Genomic DNA, 27,594 nt, shown 5'->3' with positions numbered 1-27,594 from the left:
TTGAAAAGGAAAAAAGGCCGGGTGCTGTGGCTCACACCTGTAACCCCAGCACTTTGGGAGGCCGAGGCAGGCAGATCGCCTGAGGTTGGGAGTTTGAGACCAGCCTGACCAACATGGAGAAACCCCATCTCTACTAAAAATAGAAAACTAGCCAGGCGTGGTGGCACATGCCTGTAGTCCCAGCTACTCGGGAGGGTGAGGCAGGAGAATCGCTTGAACCTGGGAGGCGGAGGTTGCGGTGAGCCCAGACTGCACCATTGTACTCCAGCCTGGGCAACAAGAGCGAAACTCCATCTCAAAAAAAAAAAAAAATAGATCATTCTTTGCTCCATCTTTAAACATTTGGCTTCCGGTTTTAGCATATAGAGGTAATTTCTCAGCAATTTAAGCTACTTGAAAGCCATAATTTTATGTAATTAGTGGATTAAAATTTTAATGTAACAGTGGTGCTCTCTAGTGACCAGTCTTTTCCTTTCCTTGCATCTGATAAACAAGAGGGAGGGGAGGGGAGAATGTGGGAGGAAGACAAAGCAAGAAGGAAATCTAGGATAGGTCATTTGGGAATCCGGAGCAAGGAAGACCAGGTTTGTTTTCAGAGGGATGTGTACCCAGCACGCTCTCAGCTGGAAGGAGAAAGGAAAAATGAGCACTCTTGCAAGTGCACCCTGGGGGTGGTGACAGCAACACAGAGACAATGTGGGTGGCAAATCAAGGTGAGGGCAAGGTCAGTAGGGGTGGGGGAAAGGGAGGGTTGGCTTCAGTCTGAAAATTGCTCAGGCAGTGTTAGTTTCTTGCGCTACCACGCAGTCAACGCAGTTGCTTCTCCACCCCACTCCCTGAGGCCAGCTCAGGCTTATACTCACATTCCTCCCAAGAAAAAAACATTAGTAGAGGTTAAATGACCCCATTTGTGGGGTGGTTTATTGTTAAAATGATTAAACATGCTAAAATCACATGGAGTGGCTATTCCACTTTTGCCCTGACTCCATAGTGGGGCAAATGGGAACTACAGGAGTCACTTGGTTTGTGTGGCCTCTGGGGATGGTTAGACTTGGAGGGTTAGCGGTGAGCAGGTTAGCAAAGCCCCAAGCATCCTTCATGTAGTACACTTTTCCCAGCAGTAAAAAAATTCAGAGATTTCCCCCTTCTTCACTTTTCTTTCCTCCCTATATGTGCCCTACTTCTCATTCTCCTATGGCCCTGGAACCTCTTATGCTTCTGCCCGTTATGGTCTTAGACTAGATGATGAGGGAGGCTTTTCCTTGACACCAGCATTCCAGTCTCCCTTCCTTGGAACTAATCTACTCAGCATGCACTATTGTGGTAAGCTGCTTGATTTAGGTCTGCCTAGGGGGAAAACGAGGCTCCAGTCCCCACTGTGGCTTAGATCCTGGGAGGGGAAGTTGGAGTTGGTGCAGAAGGATCTGAAGGGGAAAAAAAATGTTACCTAAAGTGTGAATGCCGTAACTAGCAGAACAGTGCATATGTCCCACCCTCAGGCACCCTACTCTGAAAGCCTTCCCCTCCTTCCCACATTGTTCTTTGGGGAGATCTCTCAGCCTCGAAGCCTCTTGTTTAGCCCTACAGGGCAGGCATAGCTACTGATCAAAGAACCTTATACCAAGAAGAAATTGTTCCACCCTTAGACTAGTGACTGCTGATTGAAGTCTTCATCTTCTCCACCTCTCTTGTGCCTCTACTTCTGTGATGGCTTGAGGGGGCCAGATACAAGAGTATATAAAGGTTGAACTTGCCTCAAGGAAAGGCTAGAGGGACAAGGGATAAAGATACATGGGTGTGGAGAAGGGGAGAGAAGGGACCAGCATGAAGGTGAAGGTGAAGGGCAAGCCTGGCCATTCAGGAGCTGGGATCCTTTTTCCTTTTCTGAAATCGCCGGAACTTGCCCTGAATAGCAAGGGCAGCCTTCTCTGTTTCTGGTGCTGTCAGATCAATGTCAATCTCCTCCTCCTCCTCCGCCTTCTTGACATTGCCAGCTTTTCCTGCAGATAGTTGGGAGACTCATTAATGAGTTAATCTGACCTGCTCTAGACCCTTTCTCCAGGCCCCCAATACAGTGGGTAAGGTCCACCTTGTGCCAGACTCTGTGGGGTCCCCAAATTTTTGCTAGGATTATGAATGCCTGATAATTCCCCTAGAAGTCTGAGTCAAGGTACTTAGGCTGGGAATTAGCTATAGTTACTTAGGGGAGCTCTGCTACTCTTGGACCAAACAACAAATGTCTTCTTTCATCACTTATTCATAAATCCTACAGTTCAAGTTCCAATGCACACTCACTTTCCTCAGCTTTCTCTCAGTTTCTGATGGAGATAATGCTGGGACTTTTGATGAGTTTCTTCTTATCTTGTACCTCTCTCCCCCCAACACTCCAGACCCAGTTTCTAAAATCAAGGAGGAAATACTGATCGTTTACTTTCTAGGAAAAATAGAAGGAAGCCTATAGATATAGTACTGTAGTTCCAAACTGGTACTTTGTTTCACTTATCCACATTCTTATTCCTTTCATGTCTGACTTTAGGAAATTCCAGACTCACCCTACTTGTCTTTATGTCTCTACAGTCACCTGCTCTACAAACTGCCTAGCCCAACCCCACTCACCTTTTTCCTCTTGGCCAGCTGCCTGGTTGGTTGCTGGGGATGTTTTGGTATTAAGCTGGAAAAAATATTAGGATATCAGAATATTAGATATTCATGGAAGTAATTTGAAGGCATCATCACCTTAGACCTCTTATATACTCTCAAACCCTATTACCAGGTGCATTCCCTTAGTCTTTTGAAGAAGCAAGTCTTGAGATCAGAGACCAGAGGAAAAGTTATCAAAATTCATCCAGCAAAGATTTACTGATGCTAGAAAGTGTAGAGGACAAAACAGACAAAGAAATTCTGCCCTCATGGAGCTTACATTCCAGTGTATATAGAGACAAATAAAGCACATAAAATGACTACTATGATGATAAGTGCTATGGAGAAAAGGTAGCGAAAGGAAATAGTAAGTACTGGGGTGGAAATGGAGGAATACAGTTTTACATAGAGTAGTCAGGAACAGCCTCTCTGAAAAGCAGCATTTGACCAAATAGCTGAAGGAGATGAGGAAGTAAGGCTCATAGATATCTGGCAGGAGTTTTCAAGGGCTCTGGGTTGGAAGTGTGACTAGCCTGTCTGAGGAATAGCAGACCAGTGTAGTTGGAGTGGAGAGAGGAAAGAGGAAAGATTAATGGAGATGAGAACAGAGTTAACTGGGGGTGGAAGCAGATTATGTAGGGCTTTAGAAGTCTTTTTAAGGAGTTTGACTGTTACTACAAGTGAGATGAGGAGTTGCTGGAGACCTCTGATTTGCATAAAAGGGAAAGAGAAAGGATGCAGAAAAATCTGTTAAGAGGTTATTGCAGAAAACCAAGCAAGAGACGATGGTAGCTTGAATCAGCATGGTGGCGATGAAGATGGTAAATGGTTGGATTCTGGGTATATTTTCCAGCTATGACCAATATGATTTGTTGATTCGAAAGATGGCATTGTGAGAAAGAGAGGGGTCAAGGATGATTCCAAATTTTGGCCTGATGATCTGAAAAAAATAGAGCTGCCGTTTCCTGAGATGTAGAAAACAGGGAGAGGAGGTTTTAGGGGGAGGATAAGGAGCTTATTTTTTAACAAATTTGAGATGGCTATTAATTATCCAAGAGAAGATGCTTTTATAAACAGTTGAATAGTCAAGATGAGTTAAAGAGAAGGGCCTGGGCTATAGATATCAGTTAGGGAGCTATTGATATATGGATAGCATTTAAAGCCATGAGACTGAATGGGATCACCAAGAAACTGAGTTCAGATAGAGAAGAGGATAAAATCCTGAGGTATCCCAGTGATTAGAATTGTAAAAATCCTTCTCCCTCTCCCTCCCCCTCCCCCTCCCTCTCCCTCTCCCCACGGTCTCCCTCTCCCTCTCTTTCCACGCTCTCCCTCTGATGCCCAGCTGAAGCTGGACTGTACTGCTGCCATCTCGGCTCACTGCAACCTCCCTGCCTGATTCTCCTGCCTCAGCCTGCCGAGTGCCTGCTATTGCAGGCGCGCGCCGCCACGCCTGACTGGTTTTCGTATTTTTTTGGTGGAGACAGGGTTTCGCTGTGTTGGTCGGGCTGGTCTCCAGCTCCTAACCGCGAGTGATCCGCCAGCCTCGGCCTCCCGAGGTGCCGGGATTGCAGACGGAGTCTTGTTCACTCAGTGCTCAATGGTGCCCCGGCTGGAGTGCAGTGGCATGATCTCCGCTTGCTACAACCTCCATCTCCCAGCAGCCTGCCTTGGCCTCCCAAAGTGCCGAGATTGCAGCCTCTGCCTGGCTGCCACCCCATCTGGGAAGTGAGGAGCGTCTCTGCCTGGCCGCCCATCGTCTGGGATGTGAGGAGCGCCTCTTCCCGGCCGCCATCCCGTCTAGGAAGTGAGGAGCGTCTCTGCCCGGCCACCCATCGTCTGAGATGTGGGGAGCGCCTCTGCCCCGCCGCCCCGTCCGGGATGTGAGGAGCGCCTCTGCCCCGCCGCCCCGTCCGGGATGTGAGGAGCGCCTCTGCCCGGCCGTGACCCCGTCTGGGAGGTGAGGAGCGTCTCTGCCCGGCCGCCCCGTCTGAGAAGTGAGGAGCCCCTCCGCCCGGCAGCCACCCCGTCTGGGAAGTGAGGAGCATCTCTGCCCGGCAGCCACCCCGTCCGGGAGGGAGGTGGGGGTCAGCCCCCTCCTGGCCAGCTGCCCCGTCCGGGAGGGAGGTGGGGATCAGCCCCCGCCCGGCCAGCTGCCCCGTCCGGGAGGGAGGTGGGGGGTCAGCCCCCGCCCGGCCAGCCGCCCAGTCCGGGAGGGAGGTGGGGGGCGCCTCCGCCTGGCCAGCCGCCCCGTCCGGGAGGTGGGGGCGCCTCTGCCCGGCCGCCCCTTGTGGGAAGTGAGGAGCCCCTCTGCCCGGCCACCACCCCATCTGGGAGGTGTACCCAACAGCTCATTGAGAACGGGCCATGATGACAATGGCGGTTTTGTGGAATAGAAAAGGGGGAAAGGTGGGGAAAAGATTGAGAAATCGGATGGTTGCTGTGTCTGTGTAGAAAGAAGTAGACATGGGAGACTTTTCATTTTGTTCTGTACTAAGAAAAATTCTTCTGCCTTGGGATCCTGTTGATCTATGACCTTACCCCCAACCCTGTGCTCTCTGAAACATGTGCTGTGTCCACTCAGGGTTAAATGGATTAGGGGCGGTGCAAGATGTGCTTTGTTAAACAGATTCTTGAAGGCAGCATGCTCGTTAAGAGTCATCACCACTCCCTAATCTCAAGTACCCAGGGACACAAACACTGCAGAAGGCCTCAGGGTCCTCTGCCTAGGAAAACCAGAGACCTTTGTTCACTTGTTTATCTGCTGACCTTCCCTCCACTATTGTCCTATGACCCTGCCAAATCCCCCTCTGCGAGAAACACCCAAGAATGATCAATAAAAATAAAATAAATAACATTAAAAAAAAAGAATTGTAGAAATTAAGAAAAATCAACAGGATGGAGAAGAAGCCAGGTAGGAGAAAAGCCAAGAGATTACAGTAATGTGGAAGCCACGTGAAGAAAATATTTCAGGGAGTAGAGAATGACTATGTCTAATTCTGCAGGTAAGCCAAGTAAGATGAGAACTGGATTGACCATTGAGTTTTGCTATGGGGAGATCACTGGTGACACTGATAAGAGAAGTGTCCATGAAGGAGGGGAGCAAGGGGAGGGCATGATTGTAATGGGCTCAAGAGGGAAAAGGAAGAGAGGAATTGCAGCAGCAAATATAGAAGGAATTCCAAAAATGGGAATGGGGGCATAACTTTTGGCAGACATGAGGTCACAAGAAGATTTTATTTAAGATGACAGAAATTACAGAATGTTTGTGTTCTTATGGAAATGATCCAGTAGACAAGGAAAAACTGTAGGAGAGAAAGAGAATCATTACTGGAATAGGAGAGAGGGGGTGAGATCTAGTGCATCAGTAGAGGGCTGGCCTTGAATAAGAGCTAGACTAGGATACCCACAGGAACTGGAGGGAAGGCAGAGCTTATAGGCCCTGGCGCAAGCAGAGGGAACATTTGGAGGGTCTCCCTAACTGCTTCTATATTTTGAAGTAAAATATGTAACAAGGTCATCATCCAAGAGGAGGAGGGAAGAGGTATTAAAGAAAGGAAGGGAGAAATACTCACCTAGGCAAGTAGGAGAGTAAATGGACTAAGGAACAGTGATAGGATTGCTGGAGACATTAAGGCCCCTCATAAGGCAGGAGGTCATGAATTTGAAGTGAGACTAATCAGCTGATGTCTATGCTTTTTCCCAGGTTCCCTGCTCAGATGGAGAGTTAAACGTAATAGTAAGGCCAGGTACAGTGGCATAAACCTGTAGTCTCAGCTACTTGGGAGGATCCCTTGAGCCCAGGAGTTCAAGACCAGCCTGGCAAGACATAGCAAGATCCTAGCTCTTTAAAAAAAAATAGTAATTCCCCTTCCTCAAAATTATATTAATAAGGCTACTTCATCTGGACATTCATCAGTCTCAAGGTATGGTTCATCTGGAGACAGAATCATTCCTGCACTTGGTACTTTTGGAGTCTGTTTATTCACCTCACAATTTTAAGTACTTTATATTTAACAAAATACAAAAACTGGGTGCTTTCATAAATGTTTTCTCATCTAATTCTTGGAACAGCTTAGTGGAGTATTTAATATTATCCCCCATTTTACAGATGCAGACCTCTGTTGAATGACTGCCAGACGTAAGGGTTCTGCTTTGAGAAACTGATAGAATCCAATTTATGTTCTGTAGATTATGCTGTTTCCATCTCACTTCAATAAATACTTATCAAGCACTTACTTGTGTTCAGCACTGTTCTATACACTCAAGAGGTATAAAAGAAGCAAAAGATTCATTCAACAAATATGTCAGTGCCTAATCACATGGCAAGTATTGTTCTAGGTGTTGGGCATACAGCAGTGAGCAAAAGAAAGTCCCTGCACTTATTCAACAAATACATCAGTTAGTGACAAATGCCATGAAAGAAAATAAAGCAGAGTAGTCTAGGAAAGTCTCTCTGAAGACTGACATTTGAGTAGAGGCTTTAATGACGATGTAAGAATAAGATATGTGAATGTGTGGGAAAAGATCCTCTGGGCAGATGAAATATCAACTAGAAAGTCCCTGAAGCAGGTTTGTGCCTGTATGTTCAAGGAAGAGTAAAAAAAATCATCATGGGCCAGATGCAGTGGCTCATGCCTGTAATCTCAGCACTTTGGGAGGCCAAGGTGGGCGGATTGCTTGAGTCCAGGAGTTTGAGACCAGCCTGGGCAACATGGTGAAACCCAATCTCTACAAAAACTACAAAAATTAATCAAGCATGGTGGCGTGCACTTGTGGTCCCAGCTACTCAGGAGGCTGAGATGGGAGGATCACTTGAGCCTGGAAGGCGGAGGTTGCAGTGAGCTGAGATTGCGCCACTGCACTCCAGCCTCAGCAACAAGAGTGAGGGAATGGGAAGGGGAAGAGGAAAGAGAAAGAAAGACCATCATGGCTGGAGCTATGTAAGGGAGAGAGTATAAGAAATGAGGTTAGGTAGATAGCCAGAATATGTGTCTTTGGAACAGGACAAAGAATTTCGATTTTTTTCTGAGCTGATGAAAAGGCATTATAGGTTTTGGGGCAGAGGAAAACATGGTCTGTCATGTTTTTAAAGGATTGTTCTGACAGATGGGTAGAAAAAAGACTACTGGCTGGGCGTGGTGGCTCATGCCTATAATCCCAGCACTTTGGGAGGCTGACATGGGAGGATCACTTGAGCCCAGGAGTTCATGACCAGCCCAGGCAACATAGCGAGACCCCATCTCGAAAGAAAAAGAAAAGAAAAGAAAAAAAAGAAGGAAGGAAGGAAAGAAGGAAAGAAAGAAAGAAAATAGAGGTACAAGAAACCAGGGAAAACAAGAGAGTCTTGCAATGGTACAAGCAAGATGATGGGGCCTGGACTAGGGTGGTAGTGATGGAGATAATAGGAAATACTAAGACTTGAGACAAGTTTCATGGTAAAATAAGCTGGATCTGCCTGTATATTTTTCAGTACAGAGAGCTCTATCAAAGAGCCTTTCTTTAAAGGGCGGTGGAGGAATTGGACATTAGTTGGAGATGAATGTGGGGTTATGGGAGGGCTTGGTAAGATGGGGGATTTTAAATGCTGATGGAAATGATTTAGTAAGGAAGAAAAAAACTGATGATACAGGAGAGGGGATAATTACCAGAGTGATATCTTGAATAGGCAAGAGGAAATAGATCTGGTGCATAAGTGGAGGGGTTGCCCTTCGATAAGAATACAGACAGTTTATCTACAATATAGGAATGAAGGAATAGATGCAGGAAAGGTGGCAGACGTAGAAATGTATAAAAGTTTTCTTCTGATTGTTTCCATTGTCTCAATGAAACACGAAAGACAGTTGTCAGCTGAGAGTGAAGAAGGCACGGAAGTATTAAATGTTTGAGGAAAGAGGAGAATGACTGAAAGGATTATCTAAGAAAGTAAGAGAGCGAGTGAGCTGGTGAGATATAGGATGAGGCAGGAGGATCACCTAAGCCCAGGGGTCCAAGACCAGCCTAGGCAACACAACTAGACCCTAAAGATGTAGCAGGATTACCAGATAGCACAAAGGGCACATTGGGGGTTAATGGCTGTGAATTTAAGGTGAAACCAATCAAGATACTCTTCCTATCTTCCAGGCTAAGTGATTTTAGAGGAGATAAGGACCCAAATAATATGTATTGTTTATTATATATCAAACATTATCCCATTTAATCCTCTGAAATCTCTAAGAAGATGGCACCCTATTTTATAGTTAAGGAAAACAGGCTTAGAAAGATGTTGAGGAACTTGCCCAAGTCAAATCACACAATAGAAAACAGTGAACCTGGCTTTGGAACCCAGGTAGACCGACTCCATACTCCTAGCCAACAGGCTGTACTGTCTCCATAAGACCAAATATTGTCACATGCTGACACAAATATGCTAATATGTTAACAATTACTGAATCTAAGTGGAAGACGTGGATATGTACTGAACTATTTTTTCTTTCCTTAAGGGATTGCTTTAATTTCCTTTTTTGGAGTTTTCATTGATAGTGTTTAGAGACACCACTGATTTTTATATATTGATCTTGTATCCAACAACTTTGCTGAAATCATTTATTAACTCTAATTATTTGTTTGTTCGAGATGGGGTCTCACTATGCTGCCCAGGTTGGTCTCAAACTGGTGGGCTCAAGCAGTTCTTCCTCCTCAGCCTCCTAAATAGCTGAGATAATAGGTGTAATGCCACTGCACCTGGCTTGAACTATTCTTTCATTTCTGGTAAATGGTTCCAATAAAACATTAGGGGGAAAGAAAATAATAATTTAGAAAAAAATTATTAAAAATGCTAATGCGATATTGTATTTGACATGGGCAAGTTTTTCAAACTCAGTTATAACTTTATATGGTCCAAATTTTGTGTAAGATACATATGTGTTTATATTTATATGTATATTTTTTATATATATACATACATATATACACATATATACACACACACACATATATATATACACACACACACATATTTTCCTTTTTTTTTTTTTTAAGAGATAAGTCTTGCTTTGTCACCCAGGCTGGAGTGCAGTGGCACAATCATGTCTCACTGCAGCCTTGATCTCCCAGGCTCCAGCGATCCTCGCACCTCAGCCTTGCAGGTAGCTGGGACTACAGGCACACCACTATACCTGGGTAATTTTTGTATTTTTTGTAGAGACTGGGTCTTGCTATGCTTCCCAGGCTGGTTTCAAACTCCTGGACTCAAGCAATCCTCCTATCTCAGCCTCCCAAAGAGCTGGGATTAAAGGCACAAGCCACCACGCCAGGCCCATATGTATTTTCATTTTAAAATCTGGAAGAACATACATAAAGGTGTTCCTGAAACCCTATGGAATTCCTGCTTGTTCCCCTTTGACCAAAAGAAAGATTCCATGAGAGGAAGGACTGTTCCTGAGACTTAGGAGACTGACCCAGTTGTTACTCTTTCTCTCCCCATAATCCCCCTGTGGTCAAATGTTTTTCTTTGCTTAATTTTGCACATAATCGATAAAATGTCCCAATAGTTACTGAGGTGACACCTTCCACAGGAATACTGTCATCACAAGAGGTTTGTCCACACTGTAAAAATATGACCTGGCCGGGCACAGTGGCTCACACCTGTAATCCCAGCACTTTGGGAGGCCGAAGCAGGCGGATCATTTGAGGTCAGGAGTTCGAGACCAGCCTGGCCAACATGGCGAAACCCCATCTCTACTAAAAACACAAAATTAGCTGGGCGTGGTGGCAGGCAAATGTAATCCCAGCTACTGGGGAGGCTGGGGCAGGAGAACTGCTTGAACCAGGGAGGCGGAGGTTGCAATGAGCTGAGATCACACCACTGCACTCCAACCTGGGTGACAGAGCAAGACTCTGTCTCAAAAAAAAAAAAAAAAAAAGTATGACCTAGATGGAGTATGCAGTTAATAGGATAACAGCAACTGTCCAGACAAGAGGATCATAGGTTAAGAGGCAAGTTCTATAGTCTCATGATCTCTGACTTCAAATCCTATGCTCTCTTTTGCCAGTAAATCTCGGACTCTGATCTATGATTTAGCCATTATCCCTCTGTCTGACTCTAAGCCTATTCCCTTAATCCATCAGATCTTTTCTCTCACCCCAACCCCTCCTCTTTGAAGGAAAATCTGGACTCTGATTCTTTTTTTTTTTTTTTTTTTGAGACGGAGTCTTGCTCTGTCGCCCAGACTAGAGTGCAGTGGCGCGATCTCGGCCCATTGCAAGCTCTGCCTCCTGGGTTCATGCCATTCTCCTGCCTCAGCCTCCCGAGTAGCTGGGACTACAGGCGCCCGCCACCACACCTGGCTGATTTTTTGTATTTTTAGTAGAGACGGGGTTTCACCGTGTTAGCCAGGATGGTCTTGATCTCCTGACCTCGTGATCCGCCTGCCTCAGCCTCCCAAAGTGCTGGGATTACAGACGTGAGCCACCACACCCGGCCACTGGACTCTGATTCTAAATATCTTCCCTCAGGTGGCTGTTTCCTCTACATTCCTTCTCATATCAGCAGACCTTGAGAATAAGCAGGAATGTGTGTCAGGACTAAACCACACAGGCTGCCACTTTCCCTCTGCCCTGCCAGCTGCTTCCCTCCCAAGTCTCTCTGGAGATCACTGGCCCTGGAATGGAGCAGTGGCTCAGCTGCCATCTGGTCCCCCCACCCCCCGGGGTTTCTAGCTCCATTTAGGTTAAATTTATGAGAGATAATAATCTAAAAGTGGGGTCTCCACTTGGGAAACCAGCAAAGGATGCTGCAAGGAGAAGAAAACTCCTATTACTCACAATGCCCCTTGAAATTTCCCTTTTACCTTCCACTGAAAGGGGTGCAGGAGCTTTTACCTCCTGCCCCTCTTCCCTCTTTCTAGCCAGTTCTCGAAATAGCCACTCTGGACACTCTTCTGGATTTAGTTGTTTGTGATTTGCTGAGGTTAGGGGTGGGGGCAGTTAGATCACAAGTTGTCTGCTCCCACCCTCTATGTGGTGCTCAGTCCTTTATTAGTCTCTGGTCTCTGCCTCAACCCTCCTGTTTATCTTCCAGAAACGCAGCAATTTTAGATGAATTAAGGTCCTCTGGTATACGCATCTGCAAGCCATCAGACTAACCATACTTCACATAAACAAAGGAGGCACAGAGGTACACCCTGGGACCAGAGACCACATACTCTAGTGTTTCTCACAAAAACTCATACCTGCAGAGGAGTGAGGCCAAACTGCAAGAGCTGTAACAGGTCAGCACTTCTCAGCTCCTCATTCTAGCCAGGTATGGATCACAAACCTCTCAGGTGCTCTTCTACTCCTTTTCTTTTTTTTGAGACAGAGTTTTGCTCTTGTCACCCAGGCTGGAGTGCCTAGCCTTCTACTCCTTTCGATACTGAGCTTTTCTGACCAGAAATAACAACAATGACATGGTTTAGGAAATCCTTCCTTCTCCTTATAGGACCCAACTGGGGGAACTGGAAGAAATCAAGGATTTCAGAATGTCACCTCGCTTTACTTTATGAACAATCATATATAATACACTATGTGCCAGCTACTTTTCTAAGTACTTTATAAACACTAACACGTTGAATGATTATAACAGCCCTATAAAATAGGTATAATTATTATTTCTATTTCACAGAGAAGGAAATTGAAGTTGAGAGGTTATCTTGCCCAAAGCCATAGAACAAACAAACCACAAAGCTAGGATTTGAACCCAGGCAGTCTGGCTCTAGAATCCATGCTCTTGATCATTATCCTACACTATCTCTCAATCTCCAATCAAAAGTATGGGGATGTATGAGTATGTATGTGCATGCGTATACAATGCTATCTTCACATATACTCCAAAGGGAACTTGGGGAACAGGGTCCAGTCCTGCCATTATGGGGCAATTTTACATGTTATTAATATTTGACAACCTGATCCCAGACCACGCCTATCACTCAGATTTCTGCTCTAATTGATCTAATCACCCTGATTCTGGTTTTCATCTTAATGTTTGCTCAGTGGGCCTCCTGATACACGAGGCTGACTCCTGGAGGACAGCCATAGTTTACATTCTTTACTCCCAGAGCCAGAACCCAGCCCTTCAGAGTCTGAGAATTCCATGTGTAGGATCATTCTACTGGCTTCCATTTCAAATGCCTCCCTCACTGTCATTCAAGCCTGTTATTCCAAGTTTCTAGTGAGCTTGGAGCTTGGTTCGTTCAGCCTCACTGCCCACATAGGACTGAATGGGACTTTGGGGGTTTTGTTTGTTTGTTTGTTTTGAAACAGGTTCTCACTCAAGCAATACTCCAGCCTCAGCCTCCTAAAGTGCTGGGATTACAGGTGTGAGCCACCCACACCCTCCCCAGCCAGGACTAAATGTTTCTCACTTCTCAATAGATACCAAACACTAATTAGCAACTGTGAGGCCCATCAACTCCTTCTTTTCCTTAATTTATTTTCCCTAGAGGGTTTTAGTTGCTTTCCTTGCCTACCTTCCTATATTTCTTTAATCCTTGCCTCTGAGCCTGATGTGTACCAGTGTTCCATTCCATCATCTTGGTGATACTGCCAATTCCCCATGAGTACTCTTTTGTTTCCTCTGCAGCTCAAAGCTGCAGATTCTCCCTTCCCATGGGGAAGAAGGAAAGGAAGGAGAGTCTTGTTGGCTTAAGGGTCTTTTTTTCTTTCGGCTTTGAGATTGCAGAGAGGAACATGACATAGTAACATTCCTCCTTTCCCTAATACTTTCCCCAGGAGTACCTACCCTTTTCATTTCCTCCCACTTCCAGGAAAGAGAAGCACCACACACTTGCCTATCTGCCTCCTCCCAGAGCATTTGTCAGATGATGTCTTGTCCTTCCATCTGAGCTCTAGATCCCATCACCCTTCTCCTCCTCAGGAATCTTGACAATCAGTTCCCTTTACTCTCTCACATATAAAGCTTCCCTCTCTCCTTAAGAAGTAAATAAATATATGACTTAGGATAAATAAATATATTTATCCTTAAATAAAAATAAATAAATAAATAAAAGCCTCCCTCAACCTGAATTTCTTTTCCAACTACCATTAGAGACGAAAGAAGCAGGTCTCGGACAATAGGAATTGTCAATATTGAGGAATACCAATTTTTTTTTTTTTTTTTTTTGAGACGGAGTTTCGCTTTTGTTGCCCAGGCTGGAGTGCAGTGGCACGATCTCGGCTCACTGCAACCTCCGCCTCCAGGGTTCAAGCAATTCTCCTGCCTCAGCCTCCCGCGTAGCTGGGATTACAGGTGCCCACCACCATGCCTGGCTAATTTTTGTATTTTTAGTAGAGACAGGGTTTCACCATGTTGGCCAGGCTTGTCTCGAACTCCTGACCTCATGATCTACCCGCCTCGGCTTCCCAAAGTGCTGGGATTACAGGCGTGAGCCACTGTGCCCAGCCCAGGAATACCAATGTTAAAAGTTTAGGGAAATGCTTTAAAAAAGAAAAAAAGAAATCAGGATCTAGAAGAATTTGCTTAAAAAAAAAAAAAGGGATTACCCCAATCTGATCACTATAAGTTATATGTATCAAAATATCACTCACTATGTACCCCCATGAATATGTACAATTAGGCAGGGCACGGTGGCTCACACCTGTAATCCCAGCATTTTGGGAAGCCAAGGCAGGCAGATCACTTGAGGCCAAGAATTTGAGACCAGCCTGGGCAACATAGACTTTGTCTCCACTAAAAAAAAAAAAGGTTAGTCCAAGTGTGGTGACATGCACCTGTAGTCCCAGCTACTCGGGAGGCTGAGGTATGAGGATCGATCACTAGAACCCAGAGATCAAGGCTGCAGTGAGCTATGATCATGCCACTGCACTCCAGCCTGGGTGACAGAGTGAGAGCTTGTCTCAAAAAAGAAAAAAGAAAAAAAGATCAGGCACAGTGGCTCACACTTGTCATCCCAGCACTTTGGGAGGCCAAGGCAGGCAGATCATGAGGTCAGGCATTGGAGACCAGCCTGGCCAACATGGTGAAACCCAGTTTCTACTAAAAATACAAAAATTAGCCGGGCGTCATGGCACGTGCCTGTAGTCCCAGCTACTCAGGAAGCTGAGGTGGGAGAATTGCTTTAACCCTGGAGGCAGAGGTTGCAGTGAGCCAACATCATGCCACTACACTCCAGCCTGGGCGACAGAGCAAGACTCTGTCTTGGGGGTGAGGGGAAAAAAAAAGAAACAAAGTACAGACTAGAAGAAAATGTTTGCAAATCAAATATCTGATAAAAGGCTTGCATCCAGAATAAGTATTGAAAGAACTTTTAAATCTCTATAATAAAAACACAGTTTTTTTAAATGGGCAAAATATTTGAACAGACATTTCACCAAAGAAGATACATGGATGACACGCACATGAAAAGATATATAACATCATCATCATTTGGGAAATGCAAATTAAAACCACAATGAGATATCACCACATACCTATTAAAAATTTTCTGTTTAGTGGCAATACAATGTAGAGGCAAAGATACAGAGCAACTGGAACTCTCATACGTTGTTGGTGGGAATGCAAGATGGTATAGCTACTTTGGCAATTTCTTAAGCATACATTTACCATACCAACCAGCAATCCTATTGCTAGTTATTTATCCAAGAGAAATTAAAACTTATATTCACACATACATTTGTAAATTAATATTTATAGCAGCTCTACTTGTAATTGCCAAAAACTGGAAACAACCTGAATTAATGACTGGTGAGGCCCACTTTCCATATGTAGATGGCCATCTTTTTGCTATATCCTCACATGGTAGAAGGGGAGAGGGATCTCTTTGGGGTCTCTTTTTTTTTTTTTTTAGACGGAGTCTCCCTCTATCAATCACCAGGCTGGAGTGCAGTGGCACGATTTCAGCTCACTGCGACCTCCACCTCCTGGGTTCAAGCAATTCTCCTGCCTCAGCTACCCCAGTAGCTGGGACTACAAGCACATGCCACCATGCCCAGCTAATTTTGTTTGTATTTTTAGTAGAGATGGCGTTTCACCATGTTGGCCAGGATGGTCTCAATCTCTTGACCTTGTGATCCTCCCGCCTAAGCCTCCCAAAGTACTGGGATTACAGGCATGAGCCACTGCGCCTAGCCTGGGGTCTCTCTTTTTTTTTTTGAGCCTGGGGTCTCTTTTATAAGGGTACTAATCCCATTTATGAGGGCTCTGCCCTCATGACCTAATCACTTCCCAAAGCCCTCACTTCCTAGTATCATCATCTTGGGGGTTAGGATTTCAATATATGGATTTTGGGGGTACACAAACATTCAGACCATTGCACACCCTAACACAGTTGGCTCTGACATGAGCAATTGTAACAACCCAAGTGGTTACTGATGCTCTTAGGATAAAAGATGAAATTCTTTTTAATTTTATTATTATATATTTTTTGAGACAGAGTCTCTCTCCGTTGCCCAGGCTGGAGTACAGTGGCATGATCTCAGCTCACTGCAGCCTCTGACTCCTGAGTTCAAGCAATTCTCCTGCCTCAGCCTCCCGAGTAGCCGGGATTACAGGCATGCACCACCATGCCCAGCTAATTTTTGTATTTTTAGTAGAGACCGGGTTTCACCATGTTGGCCAGGCTGGTCTTGAACTTCTGACCTCAGGTGATCCAGCTTCCTCAGCCTCCCAAAATGCTAGGATTACAGGCGTGAGCCACCACGCCCAGTCCTTATTTTTTTTTTTTGAGACAAGGTCTTATTCTGTTGCCCAGGCTGGAATGCAATGGTACAATCTCAGCTCACTGCAGCCTTGGCCTCCTGGGCTCAAGCAATCCTCACACCTCAGCTTCCTGAGTAGCTGGGACCACAGCCACACACCACTACACCCGGCTAATATTTGTATTTTTTGTAGAGATGGGTTTTTGCCATGTTGCCCAGGCTGGTCTCAAACTCCTGGACTCAGGCAGTACTCCTGCCTCGGCCTCCCAAAGTGCTGGGATTATAGGTGTGAGCTACCACACTCAGCCCAAAATCCTTAATACGGCCTAAAAGGCTCTACATTGTTCAGCCTCTGATTACCTCAATAACCTCATCTCTGGAACATACTATGTTCCTTCCCACCTCAGGACCTTGGCATATGGTTCTCTTATCCCTGCCTCCTTTTTGTATCATTAATTCCTATTGATCCTTTTTGATCCTTTACATATGATTTACACTAATAATTTTTTAAATAAATGAAGGGAGCTCTCTGTTTTATTTGCAACCTCATCTAAACTTCTGAAATCAAATTTGTTTTCAGAAGTTGAAGGCCTCCATTCTGTAGCCAGTTCAGAGGTTGTGGAAAAGGGATTCAGAAGCCAAGTCATTGCTTTCCTTCACTTTAACATATGTGCCTGAAAAAGAGCTGAGAATGAAGGAAAGACCTTCTCATGAAGTATATTTCATATTACCTGTACTACAGGTACAGGTAATGTCTTACCCCCCCTTCCCCACCCTCAGCACCCTGATAGATTTTATTTCCTTTGAAGCACAGTCCATGTTTTCCATTTGTTTATGTCTAGGCTACAATAACTACAACCCATGTCTTGTAATAGTAGGTACTTAATGGATATTTATGTGAATTAAAATTTGCTTAGGCCTTACCATTACATAGAGGATGAGGATAAAAGAAAAAAAATAAAATAAAATTCTGTTAGGCTTCAAATTCCTGGGAGCAGCAATGTGGCACACTAGTCAGACAGATCTGGATTCATACCCTGGATCTGCATTGACTATCTGTTCAAATCTCAGCTCTGTCATTCCTAGCTGTGTGACATTGGGTAAATTACTTAGCTTTGCTGTGCTCAGATCGCTCATCTGCAGAAGAGAGATAATATCTATCTTGAAAGGTAAAAAGGCAGGGCATGGTGGCTCACGCCTGTAATCCCAGGGCTTTGGGAGCCCAAGGCGGGTGGATCATTTGAGGTTAGGAGTTCGAGACCAGCCTGACCAACATGGTGAAACCCCACCTCTACTAAAAATACAAAATTAGCCAGGCATGGTGGTGCATGCCTGTAATCCCAGCTATCTGGGAGGCTGAAGCAGGAGAATCACTTGAACCTGGGAGGTAGAGGTTGCAGTGAGCTGAGATCGTGCCATTGCACTCCTGGGCAACAAGAGCGAGACTCCATCTCAAAAAAAAAAAAAAAAAAAGGTAAAAGGAACCAGAGAAAAATGTATGTAAAATACATAGCACATATTACAATAAATAGTTATTATTCCAAAGTAATATAACCTGGGGTTGAATATAAGAATAGGTTTAGGTCAAGATGCTGAGGTATTTATTGCAGGGTTAAAATACTAGAATCAGAGAGTGGAGTTGCCACAGAGTAGTTTTTCTCTAAGTGGAACTGAAAGAGGAAGAGAATACCTGGGATTGCTCGAAGGGCCCTGGAGGCTTATTCTGCTACCGTAGGAGTTTCATAAATACTTTTTTTTTTCCCCTTCTAAACAAGCCCTAGAAATCACAATCTCCCTGTCTTCCCAATGTCTGTCCCCAAAAGTGCTGAGAATGGCTCTAAACCTCTGGGAACCCTGAGACATCTCTTTTTTTAAGTTATACACCACAGGGAAAAGGAGATTAGTACTCAGGAGTCAACAAACTATACTCCTTGATTGAGTCCTTTCGTCCACTTTTGTGTCATGAAAATGATTGTGTAAGTCTATTCCTTGCCTCACCAGATAGTATTGTCGGCCAGGTGCGGTGGCTCACGCCTGTTATTCCAACAATTTGGGAGGCCAAGGCAGGGGGATCACCTGAGGTCAGGAGTTTGAGACCAGCCTGGCCAACATGGTGAAACCCTGTCTCTACTAAAAATACAAAAATTAGCCGGGCATGGTGGTGGGCACCTGTAATCCCAGCTACTCAGGAGGCTGAGGTGGGAAAATTGCTTAAACCTGGGAGGCAGAGGTCACGGTGAGCCAACATCGCACCACTGCACTCCACTCCAGCCTAGGCAACAGAGCCAGACTCTGTCTAAAAAAACAAAAACAAAACATAGTATTGTGGTAGCAAGCACCTAGACATTCAAAACGGTAGCAACTTTGGTGCTGTTTTCCTGCTGCCACTACTGGGGAACAGATCCCCTATAACTCTAGGCCCAATCTTCCCCGCTCCCTTCTTGGGCTGTGTTTCCTCCTTCCTTTGTGGCTTTCATCTTTAATAGCGTTGCCACAGCAACCACTGTCACCAGAAAAGGGAAGATAGTGTTGCCCCTTCTGCTCCAAGCAGTGAGTTAGAACCTTGGAAAAGATAAACTATCCAGATTTCCCCATATTCCTCAGCCCACTGGGCTCTTTAAAGAGAGATCACAGGCTGTCAACAGCAGCAACAGACAGGAACAAGGATCACCTCATCATACCTAGACTACCTATACCTGTATTTGCATGACATAGCTTGGGTGCTGTGTAAATAAAAACACATTATAAACACATTTTGGTACTTACTGCCAGAATACTTAGTTTGGATGAATACACACAGGAACTCAGAATCCTGTCCTACAGTCCAAGGCAGAGAAACCTAAAAAGGGACTGAATCCTAAAAATCCTAAATTCTAGCCTTTAAAAATCCCTTTCCTTGCCTTTGTATTGACATAAATCCTAGGCTTCCTAAGCTCCCTGCTTGTTCTAGAGGTGCAGGAAGTGAAGGGGGACAGGAGAGTTAGTGGATCTGCTTCCAAGTGGCGACAAAGAGGCTTTGCACCCTCCCACTCCACCCTGGGACCCTTTTATCCCTTCTGACATATTCTCCTCCAATGTTAAATGAAAGTAACTGCTAAAAAACCTTATAGAGGCCTCTGGGATCCTCTAGTGCCCCTGGAAGACCCTAGACTGCTGTTTTTGGAGCACCGTTGGAACCATTTCAATTCTTTCAGTGCAGCAACCAGCTGCAGTCCTTAAACAGCTTCAGAAAGACTTGCTCAAGGTCACCCTCAAGATAATAACAGAAAAAGAACTAGGAATCCTTACTGCAGGTTCTACATACACACATTCCTCTCTTAATATATATACTATTTCCCCCAATGCCCTATATCTCAGATGCATCCTGAGACAAAAATAGAACCTAAACAACCCTAGCTCCCAAGCCCCCTTGTCTGATTCTCCCCTTAGCCACCCCATCCCTGTTTCCTGGAATAGAAGTACCCCCAACTGGAGTCAGAGGCAGAATTCCTTGGCCATGCCAGCTCATGGTATGCAGTGAGTCAACAGCCCCAGCCTGTTCCCCCCAGCATGGGCTGCCACAGTTTAATGAGTGGTTATTTGTGGTGCTCTGCACACAGCTTAGAGCTGTGCCTTCACCCCACACTGAGGTTTAGGGAATGGGGGAGAGAGAGTAGTGCCAAAGCATCATTTATTACTATAATCTTCAATGTGCATCCCACCCATGGTGTTAATGTCCCAAAATAAACGTATTAATCCCCGCTGCAGCCTACAAAGCAAACACTCAGCTGGAGGGCTTTGTGTGGGAGGGAGGCAGCACCAAGGACAACAGAACGATAAATGTACCCCTTTTCCCTGGGTGGGGTACTGGGCATGGCTTCGGGAATAAGCCTGGAGGGAAATAGAAATCAGCCTTCAGTGAGGAGACTGTGACAAGGTCTAGATTTCTAGGTACCTGTTTATGGGCACCTTTCAGGGATGCAGATCTCTTAGAAAAGTGGTTTTGAGGCCAGCATGGTGGCTCACACCCATAATCCCAGCACTTTGGGAGGCCGAGGCAGGTGGATCACCTGAGGTCAGGAGTTTGAGATCAGCCTGGCCAACATGATGAAACCCAGTCTCTACTAAAAATACAAAAAAATTAGCCGGGCGTGGTGTTGGGTGCCTGTAATCCCAGCTACTTGGGAGGCTGAGGCAGGAGAATTGCTTGAACCCGGGAGGTGAGGTTGCAGTGAGACGAGATCATGCCACTGCACTCCAGCCTGGGCAACAAGAGCGAAACTGTCTCAAAAAAAAAAAAAAAAAAAAAAAAAGTGGTTTTGGATCTGCTCTGATTTAGCTTACTTTTGTAACTAAAATAATTCCAACGCAAGTCAAGCCATTTTGAGCAGCAGGTCGGAGTATGGATTTAGAAAATCATGCACTCAGGATGCTTGAATCCCAGTAAGATTTCATCACTTACCTTGCCAGCCTAATGCATTCTTCTCATTCTTCCTTCCCCATCTTCTTGCTTTTTTTTCCCTGAGACAGGGTCGTGCTCTGTTGCCTAAGCTGGAATGCAGTGGCACAATCACGGCTCACTGCAGCTTGATCTCCTGGACTCAAGCACCACCTCAGCCTCCCAAGTAGCTGGGACTACAGATGCACACCACCATATCTGGCTAATTTTTTATTTTTTGTAAAGACGGGGTCTTGCTATGGTGCCCAGGCTAGTCTCAAACTCCTGGGCTGAAGCAATCCTCCCACCTCAGCCTTCCAAAGTGCTGGGATAATAGGTATGAGCCATCACATCTGGCCTTACCATTCTCTTCCCAAAGCCTTTGAACTCCTGACTTGGAAGTCAAACGGCCAAACGAAAGAGGACTGAATACCCAGAGGCTGTTTGTTCATCAGGTGCACCAATTTTACTTAGACACCTGCTTGCCTGCAATTATGGGAATCAATGATGAACATTGAAATTAAGAACTCATGAAAAGAGGGCCTCCAGGCTCCCTACTTCCTTCACTCCTATCAGCTTACCTACTCCACCCAATTTTCTGCACCCATTTTTAAGGTGACTAGGCATCCTGCGTAATGATGGATAGTACCTGCCCTGACTAGTATTCTACCAGAATGTACCCTGTTGATAAAATATTATCTAATGTTGGTCTCCTGTCTCTATCCTCTTGCTCAGCATTATTAGATCACACTGCTTATATTTCTTTTTCGTGTTTGTGAGAGACAGGGTCTCACTCTATCGCCCAGGCTGGAGTGTAGTGGTGCCATCACGGCTCACTGCAGCCTTGACCTCCCAGGCTCAAGAGATCCTCCTACTTCAGCCTCCCACGTAACTGGGATCACAGGCATGTGCCACCATGCCCAGCTAATTTTTTAATTTTTAGTAGAGACAGGGTTTTGTCATGTTGCCCAGGCTCGTCTCAAACTCCTGAGCTCAAGCAGTCCTCCTGCTTCAGCCTCCCAAAGTGCTGGGATTACAGGCGTGAACCACCACACTCAGCTACATTGCTTATATTTCTTTTTCTTTTTTTTCTTAGACAGAGTCTTACTCTGTCACAGGCTGGAGTGCAGTGGTGCTATCTCGGCTCACTGCAACTTCTGCCTCCCAGGTTCAAGCAATTCTCCTGGCTCAGCCTCCCGAGTAGCTGTGATTACAGGTGGCTGCCACCACACCTGGCTAATTTTTGTAGTTTTAATAGAGACGGGGTTTCACCATGTTGGCCAGGCTGGTCTCGAACTCCTGACCTCGTTATCCACCTACCTTGGCCTCCCAAATGCTGGGATTACAGGCATGAGCCACAGTGCCCAGCCTATATTTCTTATAAAAAGTACTTGAGGCTAGGCATGGTGGCTCATGCCTGTAATCCCAGCACTTTGGGAGACCAAGACAGGTGGATCACTTGAGGCCAGGAGTTTCAGACCAGCCTGGTCAACATAGTGAAATCTCGTCTCTACTAAAAAAAATACAAAAATTACCCGGGCCTGGTGATACACGCCTGTAATCTCAGCTACTTGGGAGGCTGAGGCAGGAGAATCACTTGAAGCCAGGAGGCAGAGATTGCAGTGAGCCAAAATGGCGCCACTGCACTCCAGCTTGGGCGACAGAGTGAGACTCCATCTCAAAAAAAAAAAAAAAAAAAAAAAAAAAAGGAAAGAAAGTATTGAGGCCAAGCATGGTAGCTCATGCCTGTAATCCCAGCTCTTTGGGAGGCTGAGATGGGTGAACTGCTTGAGCTCAGGAGTTCGAGACCAGCATGGGCAACGTGGTGAAACCTGTCTCTACAAAAAATACAAAAAAAATTAAGCAGGCATGGTGACGTGTACCTGTGGTCCCAGCTACAAGGGATGCTGAGGTGGGAAGATTGCTTAAGTCCAGGAGCTTGAGGCTGCAGTGAGCCATGATCATGCCACTGTACTCCAGCCTGGGTGACAGAGATATTGTCTCAAAAAAAAAAAAAAAGTACTTGAAATATATTCATTAAAAGTTTACATGCTAATCAAATAATTCTGTGGCCAGGCACAGTGGCTCACCCCTGTAATCCCAGCACTTTGGGAGCCGAGGTGGGCAGATCACTTGAGGTCAGGAGTTCGAGACCAGTCTGGCCAACATAGTGAAACCCCATCTCTACTAAAAATACAAAAAATTAGCCGGGCGTGGTGGCGAGTGCCTGTAATCCCAGCTACTTGGGAGGCTGAGGCAGGAGAATTGCATGAACCCCGGAGGTGGAGGTTGCAGCGAGCCGAGATTCACCATTGCACTCCAGCCAGCCCTGGCAACAGTGCAAGACTCCAACCCAAAAAAAAACAAAAACAAAAACAAAAACAAAAACCCTGTATTTACTGAAGTAAAATGTTAAAGGAGTCTTGTGGAATGTTCTTTTGGAATGAGAAGTCAGAAGTACAGTGCCCTAGCCTTGGTTCTAGTACAGTGTAAACTTAGATAAGTTTTGGGCCCCAGTTTTCTCACCTGTAAAATGAGAATATTGGACCAGATGATCTTTAGCGTTCCTTAACAAATCTAAAATCGCATCACTAAAATGTTTTGATATTTTATTTGAGGTTTTCTGGGTGAAAGATATATCTTTCTATTTTGAAGAATTTTTTGCAGAACTAAGTTTATTTTTCTCTATGATAAAATAGACTCATGAAAGACAATTTAGAAATATAGAAAAGTAAAAAGAAAATAGTGGGAGGCATGCATAGAACCACCACCTTGAAGAGACAATTATTCATCTTTCTTCATCCTCTCTGCCTGCAACTCTATCTCCACCACTTCCATCAGTTAAGACCCTCCATAGGCAGACATGAAAGATGCATCAAGTTTGTGCACTTGGACTTCAGCCATATTACTTATGGCTGCCTGACCCTATAAAGATGACATTCTCAGAGCTAACAAATCACAGCTGTAGTTGAGAGAAAGAATCATCCATATTTCCAGGTCACAGGATGACAAAGTCATCCACTTCTACCAGTCAGAGGCTCCTGCCTAAGCAGCTAAAACCAGCAACATAAATGGGAGACTAAGAAAGGGATGAGCAAGTTCTCATTTTCCTCACTCCAACGCAGATGTTTCCAGAGGTAGAAGGCATTTCTTTTTTTTTTTTTTTTTTTTTTTGAGATGGAGTCTCGCTCTGTCGCCCAGGCTGGAGTGCAGTGGTGCGATCTCGGCTCACTGCAAGCTCCGCCTCCCGGGTTCATGCCATTCTCCTGCCTCAGCCTCCCGAGTAGCTGGGACTACAGGCGCCTGCCACCATGCCTGGCTAATTTTTTGTATTTTTAGTAGAGATGGGGTTTCACCATGTTAGCCAGGATGGTCTCGATCTCCTGACCTCATGATCCACCCACCTTGGCCTCCCCAAGTGTTGGGATTACACGCGTGAGCCACCGCGCCTGGCCGGTAGAAGGCATTTCAATAGCAGTAAGTGACTAGACTTTCTATTTTGTATATCCAATATAACCATAATAAAAGTAACATACCAATGAGAGAGAGAAACTTGGATCTCCTCCAAGTCCACACCAGGTTCCCTAACAACTGGTTCACAGGAGACATAACAGAATAGTATCACTCTGACTGAACTTCCCTTGTTGGGAAGGTGGCAGATGCAGACAGATGTGCACAGGAAAGAGTGTGTGGATCTCCAAAGTGTGATATCCCATTCTCATTAGATAAGAAGAGAGCAAACAGGATAATGAAGGAGCACCAGGTCTAAGCTCTCCCCTAAATGATATTTCTAGTTGATCTGTCCCTTGCCCCAGCCCCTGCCAGCCAAAACACAGGACAGACACCATGAAGACTGTCACCAATGGTCCATGACTCCCATTTCAGCAGAACGACTGCTGGACCAAGGGATTCCCCTAGCTAGGCTTCTCGCAGATGAGAAATACAACAGGATTACAAAAGAACCTGCAATTCTGCTTTAAGCAGCCAGCTACACTGTATGAAAAAGGATTATAGGGAAGAGCCCTCAGGGACTGAACACATCTCTCATTCCCATCCTTCACTGAAACTAGGGAAAAGTTATTAAACCACAGGAGATAGAGTGTGATCCACAGCAATCAAGTCCCGCCTGCAGCTGTGAATGCAGACAAATTGGAGATGAGTCCCTGCAGCTCCTTCGTGCACGAACGCACACACACACTCACAGGGAAATGCTCTACTGCAGTAATGAGTGACAGCAAAGAGCCACAAAGGCAAGGCAGAGCCAGAGATCCTCCCCAGCAGCCCCACCAGAACCCCTGCACTGTTGGTTGTTCTAGGTCTGGAGACTCCTCCCTGGTTTTGTTCTTCAGTTGAAATAGGAGTCTCTTAAAGACATCCCAAATTGTCTCACTTCATGCACTTTCTCTGAAGCAAGAAAATAAGCAGTTGGGGGAGGTGAAACTTACGTAAGATTCAAGGTACACAGGGCTTTCCTGGGCGGGGCTCTTCCACCTGAAAGAGGAGCCCCATGGGGCTGGCCTGAGAGAAATGAAGCAGTTTGGAGTCTCCCTAGAGCTCTGGGCAACACTTCCACCTTTTACCATAGCTTTTACAAGAGGAAGAAAACAGGCTGGATCTCGGCCCCTAGAGAAGCAGAGACCCCTTTGTGACCTGATTCAGAGACAGCTGCTTCTGGATTTTATAAGTATTCATCCCTAAGACCAGGCTCAGCTCTGTATTAGGAGACAGCTTCTATGACTAAATTGCTAGTTAAAACCAGTTTGCTCTGATAGCCTAGGAGGCTGGGCAGACTTGGGTACACTGATAGTCTCCATCCGTGGATCCTTCTCTCATCATTCTACTGAGCCCCTGATGAAGGCTAACCAAATTCAGCTGCTGAGTCAGGAGGGAGCGGACTTGGCTTTCTCCTCAAACACCGAATTGTTTCCTTTGCTACAAAACAGGCTTCTCATTCCACCAAATACCACTCTAAATGCCAGCCCCTGTAGTGTGTCCTACAAAGGGGCTGTGCACTTACCCCAGAAAACACAGGCTAACTGCAAATCCTCACGTTGGCATAGCCTTCAGATCACAAACTCCCAGGGGATGGCTTGGATTACAACTTTCAGATTTAGAAATGCTCGGGGTGGGAGGAGTAGTATGAACCCTAGACCTCAGTGAAAAGGGGCAAAGAAAACCTCTCTTCCCACATTAGAGGTGAAAGAGGAGGTTGATGCGTTTTTTTCTTTTCTTTCTGAAAGATTGCCATCATCAGAGTCACAACCAGCTGAGGGACTGGAAACCACTTTGGTTCATCTGCAGCCCCCAGACTAGCCGAATTTTCCAGGATAAAATTAGTGAACACGGCAACCAAGACAACACAGCAGTTGGCACTAATTAGCTCCCTGGGTGACAACTTTTGGTAGGAGTCATAGAGATCTTCATTTTTAGTATCTAAACTGGAACCCAGGCTCCAGGGTCCTATTCCTTCAGTAATCTAATGTCTTTGGGAATTCTTCTGTTAAATTTCTGTAATACTCTAATGGGAGAGGAAGAAAAAAGAAACAGAAAGATAATAGCTAATATAGATTGAGTGCCAGGTCCTGTTTCAAGTATTTGGCATATATTATCTCATTTAATTATTACAACAACCAGTATTATCCCCATTTTACAGACAAAAAATGAAACAAAGGTTTTGTACTTTGCCTAAGGCTACATCACAGGTAAGTAGCTGGCCTACATACATATCTGACATATAGCAGAGGAGTTGGATTTAACACAACGATGTGGGTACTAGGAAAGAGGTTGCAGAGGGCAAGCTTGTGATGCCACTAACCAGACTGACTTCACTTGGAAAGGCTGATCCTTGTTTCTGGAGATGAGACTGTGCCTACAAATAGACAATAGGAGACGTCTTTCCAAAGTCTCTGCTTTGACCCCCCACTCCCCCACCCCATGAACAGTGTTCTTTGAAAACAGTAAATCAGTTAATGGCCTGGGTCTGGCCACGGTGAACACCACAGAGCCTGCCGGAAGACCTAGTTTGTAACAAGCACTGCAGAGGGAGGTCTATTCTTGAAGGGGAAATCTCCCCAGCAACTGGCAGGGGCTTCTAAATACCGGAACACGTCCCTCCAACGTTCCTGACTGAATGAGTGGAGGGCAGGATGCCACCTTTCTAAAAGGGGCACAGTGGCCCTCCCCGGGGGCCAGGGATGGAGTTCTTGTTAGATGCTACAGAAGGAATGTGAGTGCCTTACATCCCTAGGAGAGAGAGGACAGAAGCGAAGTGAGGGGGGTAAGGGGAGCCAGAATAATCTCGGGCAGTAAGACAGATGCAGGGGGCAGTATCCAGAGGGGATGACCTACCACCTGAGAGCTCAGCATCCCCGCTTCCGGACTCTACAGCCGATTCCAATTACCCCCAAAAGCGCCGTCCACAGTAGGGAGACTGAAAGCACCCCGTCTTCCAATCGTTTCCCAGCGCCCCGAGGTGGGAGCTTTCCTAGGAGGGCAGTGGGGCGCCCCTGGAGGGTTCTTCGCGGCTCCGGTCTGCCTCGCTCTCCCTCGCCTCCCTGGGATCCCGAGCCGCAGCACCCTCCCCGCCGCAGCCCTGCCGACAGCGCCGGGGGCCGCACCGCTCACCTCGCTCATCTCCGCAGCCGGACAGGGCGCGCGAGGCGCTGCACGCACAGGTGAGGCGAGTGGCCCTCGGGGCTCCGCGGGCGACAGCTGAAAGTTGCCGGGCTCTGCGGCAGGGGTTACAGCTGACCAGGAGAGGAGAGTTAGTGCGGAGAGCCGCTGCTCTGGTGCTGGCACCCGGGATTCTCGGAGCCCAGCTCCGGCCAGGCGACCCCCTGCGACCCGTCCTGTCAGAGCCGCTC

The 27,594-nt window shown here is 45.9% G+C and overlaps 1 protein-coding gene and 1 long non-coding RNA gene across 5 annotated transcripts, besides 1 other annotated feature; one reads left to right on the top strand and one right to left on the bottom strand.

Moving 5' to 3' along the window:
• Positions 1–888: 888 nt before the first annotated feature.
• Positions 889–27,594, bottom strand: PCP4L1 (Purkinje cell protein 4 like 1). Of its 2 annotated transcripts, none has more exons than XM_017002154.3 (3): positions 27,080–27,594; positions 2,617–2,671; positions 889–2,000 (listed from the first exon to the last, which is right to left on the bottom strand). In XM_017002154.3, exons 1-3 carry the CDS (start codon positions 27,095–27,097, stop codon positions 1,858–1,860), a joined length of 216 nt encoding a protein of 71 aa, XP_016857643.1. In that variant the 5' UTR covers positions 27,098–27,594; the 3' UTR covers positions 889–1,857. The 2 variants fall into 2 exon arrangements, with proteins under 2 accessions (XP_016857643.1, NP_001096036.1); NM_001102566.2 differs by having other exon boundaries at positions 27,356–27,594.
• LOC105371472 (uncharacterized) lies at positions 1,996–6,874 on the top strand. 3 transcript variants are annotated; one of them, XR_922213.2, is made up of 2 exons: positions 1,996–4,637; positions 6,347–6,874. It is a non-coding gene; the product is annotated as an uncharacterized LOC105371472 (long non-coding RNA). The 3 variants fall into 3 exon arrangements; XR_922211.2 differs by having other exon boundaries at positions 4,567–4,600; XR_922210.2 differs by lacking the exon at positions 1,996–4,637 and adding an exon at positions 5,459–5,645.
• Positions 26,726–27,226: an enhancer, noted in NCBI's record as "H3K4me1 hESC enhancer chr1:161228903-161229403 (GRCh37/hg19 assembly coordinates)". NCBI's record gives its function as "activates a minimal SCP1, AML or CMV promoter by ChIP-STARR-seq in naive H9 embryonic stem cells {active_cell/tissue: H9 hESC(naive)}" and the evidence as "EXISTENCE:reporter gene assay evidence [ECO:0000049][PMID:30033119]".

The sequence above is a fragment of the Homo sapiens genome, chromosome 1 (assembly GCF_000001405.40).
Source record: "Homo sapiens chromosome 1, GRCh38.p14 Primary Assembly".
Taxonomy (NCBI): Eukaryota; Metazoa; Chordata; class Mammalia; order Primates; family Hominidae; genus Homo; species Homo sapiens.
Note: the sequence above shows the minus strand (reverse complement) of the source record. Positions and strands in the feature narration are given on the sequence as shown.

Coding starts and splice junctions, on each gene's coding strand:
- PCP4L1 (XM_017002154.3), bottom strand. Junction 2,001..2,616: donor AGCTGGCCAAGAGGAAAAAG/GTGAGTGGGGTT, acceptor AACTATCTGCAG/GAAAAGCTGGCAATGTCAAG.